The sequence below is a fragment of the Homo sapiens genome, chromosome 12 (assembly GCF_000001405.40).
Source record: "Homo sapiens chromosome 12, GRCh38.p14 Primary Assembly".
NCBI lineage: Eukaryota > Metazoa > Chordata > Mammalia > Primates > Hominidae > Homo > Homo sapiens.
This window is the reverse complement of record NC_000012.12, coordinates 29809571-29813338: the sequence shown is the minus strand read 5'-3', so window position 1 is coordinate 29813338 and position 3768 is coordinate 29809571. Positions and strand designations below refer to the sequence as shown.

Sequence of the window (3768 nt, the reverse complement as noted above, 5' to 3'; positions counted from 1 at the left end):
GAGGATTTTTGCATCAACATTCATCAAGGATATTGGTCTAAAATTCTCTTTTTTGGTTGTGTCTCTGCCCGGCTTTGGTATCAGGATGATGCTGGCCTCATAAAATGAGTTAGGGAGGATTCCCTCTTTTTCTATTGATTGGAATTGTTTCAGAAGGAATGTTACCAGTTCCTCCTTGTACCTCTGGTAGAATTTGGCTGTGAATCCATCTGGTCCTGGACTCTTTTTGGTTGGTAAGCTATTGATTATTGCCACAATTTCAGAGCCTGTTATTGGCCTATTCAGAGATTCAACTTCTTCCTGGTTTAGTCTTGGGAGGGTGTATGTGTCAAGGAATTTATCCATTTCTTCTAGATTTTCTAGTTTATTTGCATAGAGGTGTTTGTAGTATTCTCTGATGGTAGTTTGTATTTCTATGGGATCGGTGGTGATATCCCCTTTATCATTTTTTATTGCATCTATTTGATTCTTCTCTCTTTTTTTCTTTATTAGTCTTGCTAGTGGTCTATCAATTTTGTTGATCCTTTCAAAAAACCAGCTCCTGGATTCATTAATTTTTTGAAGGGTTTTTTGTGTCTCTATTTCCTTCAGTTCTGCTCTGATTTTAGTTATTTCTTGCCTTCTACTAGCTTTTGAATGTGTTTGCTCTTGCTTTTCTAGTTCTTTTAATTGTGATGTTAGGGTGTCAATTTTGAATCTTTCCTGCTTTCTCTTGTGGGCATTTAGTGCTATAAATTTTCCCCTACACACTGCTTTGAATGCATCCCAGAGACTCTGGTATGTTGTGTCTTTGTTCTCGTTGGTTTCAAAGAACATCTTTATTTCTGCCTTCATTTCGTTATGTACCCAGTAGTCATTCAGGAGCAGGTTGTTCAGTTTCCATGTAGTTGAGCAGTTTTGAATGGGATTCTTAATCTTGAGTTCTAGTTTTATTGCACTGTGGTCTGAGAGATAGTTTGTTATAATTTCTGTTCTTTTACATTTGCTGAGGAGAGCTTTACTTCCAAGTATGTGGTCAATTTTGGAATAGGTATGGTGTGGTGCTGAAAACAATGTATATTCTGTTTATTTGGGGTGGAGAGTTCTGTAGATGTCTATTAGGTCTGCTTGGTGCAGAGCTGAGTTCAATTCCTGGGTATCCTTGTTAACTTTCTGTCTCATTGATCTGTCTAATGTTGACAGTGGGATGTTAAAGTCTCCCATTATTAATGTGTGGGAGTCTAAGTCTCTTTGTAGGTCACTCAGGACTTGCTTTATGAATCTGGGTGCTCCTGTATTGGGTGCATATATATTTAGGATAGTTAGCTCTTCTTGCTGAATTGATCCCTTTACCATTAGGTAATGGCCTTCTTTGTCCCTTTTGATCTTTGTTGGTTTAAAGTCTGTTTTATCAGAGACTAGGATTGAAACCCCTGCCTTTTATTGTTTACCATTTGCTTGGTAGATCTTCCTCCATCCTTTTATTTTGAGCCTATGTGTGTCTCTGCACGTGAGATGGGTTTCCTGAATACAGCACACTGATGGGTCTTGACTCTTTATCCAATTTGCCAGTCTGTGTCTTTTAATTGGAGCATTTAGTCCATTTACATTTAAAGGTAATATTGTTATGTGTGAATTTGATCCTGTCATTATGATGTTAGCTGGTTATTTTGCTCGTTAGTTGATGCAGTTTCTTCCTAGTCTCAATGGTCTTTACATTTTGGCATGATTTTGCAGTGGCTGGTAGCAGTTGTTCCTTTCCATGTTTAGCGCTTCCTTCAGGAGCTCTTTTAAGGCAGGGCTGGTGGTGACAAAATCTCTCAGCATTTGCTTATCTGTAAAGTATTTTATTTCTCTTTCACTTATGAAGCTTAATTTGGCTGGATATGAAATTCTGGGTTGAAAATTCTTTTCTTTAAGAATGTTGAATATTGGCCCCTACTTTCTTCTGGCTTGTAGGGTTTCTGCCGAGAGATCCGCTGTTAATCTGATGGGCTTCCCTTTGTAGGTAACCAGACCTTTCTCTCTGGCTGCCCTTAACATTTTTTCCTTCATTTCAACTTTGGTGAATCTGACAATTATGTGTCTTGGAGTTGCTCTTCTCGAGGAGTATCTTTGTGGTGTTCTCTGTATTTCCTGAATCTGAATGTTGGCCTGCCTTGCTAGATTGGGGAAGTTCTCCTGGATAATATCCTGCAGAGTGTTTTCCAACTTGGTTCCATTCTCCCTGTCACTTTCAGGTACACCGATCAGACGTAGATTTGGTCTTTTCACATAGTCCCATATTTCTTGGAGGCTTTGCTCATTTCTTTTTATTCTTTTTTCTGTAAACTTCCCTTCTCGCTTCATTTCATTCATTTCGTCTTCCATCGCTGATACCCTTTCTTCCAGTTGACCACATCAGCTCCTGGGGCTTCTGCATTGTTCACGTAGTTCTCGAGCCTTGGTTTTCAGCTCCATCAGCTCCTTTAAGCACTTCTCTGTATTGGTTATTCTAGTTATACATTCTTCTAAATTTTTTTCGAAGTTTTCAACTTCTTTGCCTTTGGTTTGAATGTCCTCCCGTAGCTCGGAGTAATTTGATCGTCTGAAGCCTTCTTCTCTCAGCTCGTCAAAGTCATTCTCCATCCAGCTTTGTTCCATTGCTGGTGAGGAGCTGCGTTCCTTTGGAGGAGGAGAGGTGCTCTGCTTTTTAGAGTTTCCAGTTTTTCTGCTCTGTTTTTTCCCATCTTTGTGGTTTTATCTACTTTTGGTCTTTGATGATGGTGATGTACAGATGGGTTTTTGGTGTGGATGTCCTTTCTGTTTGTTAGTTTTCCTTCTAACAGACAGGACCCTCAGCTGCAGGTCTGTTGGAATACCCGGCCATGTGAGGTGTCAGTCTGCCCCTGCTGGGGTGCCTCCCAGTTAGGCTGCTCGGGGATCAGGGGTCAGGGACCCACTTGAGGAGGCAGTCTGCCCGTTCTCAGATCTCCAGCTGCGTGCTGGGAGAACCACTGCTCTCTTCAAAGCTGTCAGACAGGGACATTTAAGTCTGTAGAGGTTACTGCTGTCTTTTTGTTTGTCTGTGCCCTGCCCCCAGTGGTGGAGCCTACAGAGGCAGGCAGGCCTCCTTGAGCTGTGGTGGGCTCCACCCAGTTTGAGCTTCCTGGCTGCTTTGTTTACCTAAGCAAGCCTGGGCAATGGCGGGCACCCCTCCCCCAGCCTCGCTGCTGCCTTGCAGTGTGATCTCAGACTGCTGTGCTAGCAATCAGCGAGACTCTGTGGGCATAGGACCCTCTGAGCCAGGTGCAGGATATAATCTCCTGGTGCGCCGTTTTTTAAGCTCGTCGGAAAAGCGCAGTATTCGGGTGGGAGTGACCCGATTTTCCAGGTGCCGCCTGTCACCCCTTTCTTTGACTAGGAAAGGGAACTCCCTGACCCCTTGCGCTTCCCGAGTGAGGCAATGCCTCGCCCTGCTTCGGCTCGCGCATGGTGCACACACCCACTGACCTGCACCCACTGTCTGGCACTCCCTAGTGAGATGAACCCGGTACCTCAGATGGAAATGCGGAAATCACCGGTCTTCTGCATCGCTCATGCTGGGAGCTGTAGACCGGAGCTGTTCCTATTTGGCTATCTTGGCTCCTCCCCGATTTTGTTTTTTTGGACTTACTCTAATTACCTATCAAAAATAGTGGCCTTCTAGCAATGATCCCTAAAGGAGCAAGATGCGGGGATGAGGTGCATATATTTGCCATTTTTTAAAGTCTCCACATTATGATGTAAATATTACTCATGGTAAAACTT

The 3768-nt window shown here is 43.1% G+C and overlaps 2 annotated features.

Annotated features, from left to right (window-relative positions):
* Positions 2676 to 3221: an enhancer, noted in NCBI's record as "H3K4me1 hESC enhancer chr12:29963051-29963596 (GRCh37/hg19 assembly coordinates)". NCBI's record gives its function as "activates a minimal SCP1, AML or CMV promoter by ChIP-STARR-seq in naive H9 embryonic stem cells {active_cell/tissue: H9 hESC(naive)}" and the evidence as "EXISTENCE:reporter gene assay evidence [ECO:0000049][PMID:30033119]".
* Positions 3222 to 3768: an enhancer, noted in NCBI's record as "H3K4me1 hESC enhancer chr12:29962504-29963050 (GRCh37/hg19 assembly coordinates)". NCBI's record gives its function as "activates a minimal SCP1, AML or CMV promoter by ChIP-STARR-seq in naive H9 embryonic stem cells {active_cell/tissue: H9 hESC(naive)}" and the evidence as "EXISTENCE:reporter gene assay evidence [ECO:0000049][PMID:30033119]".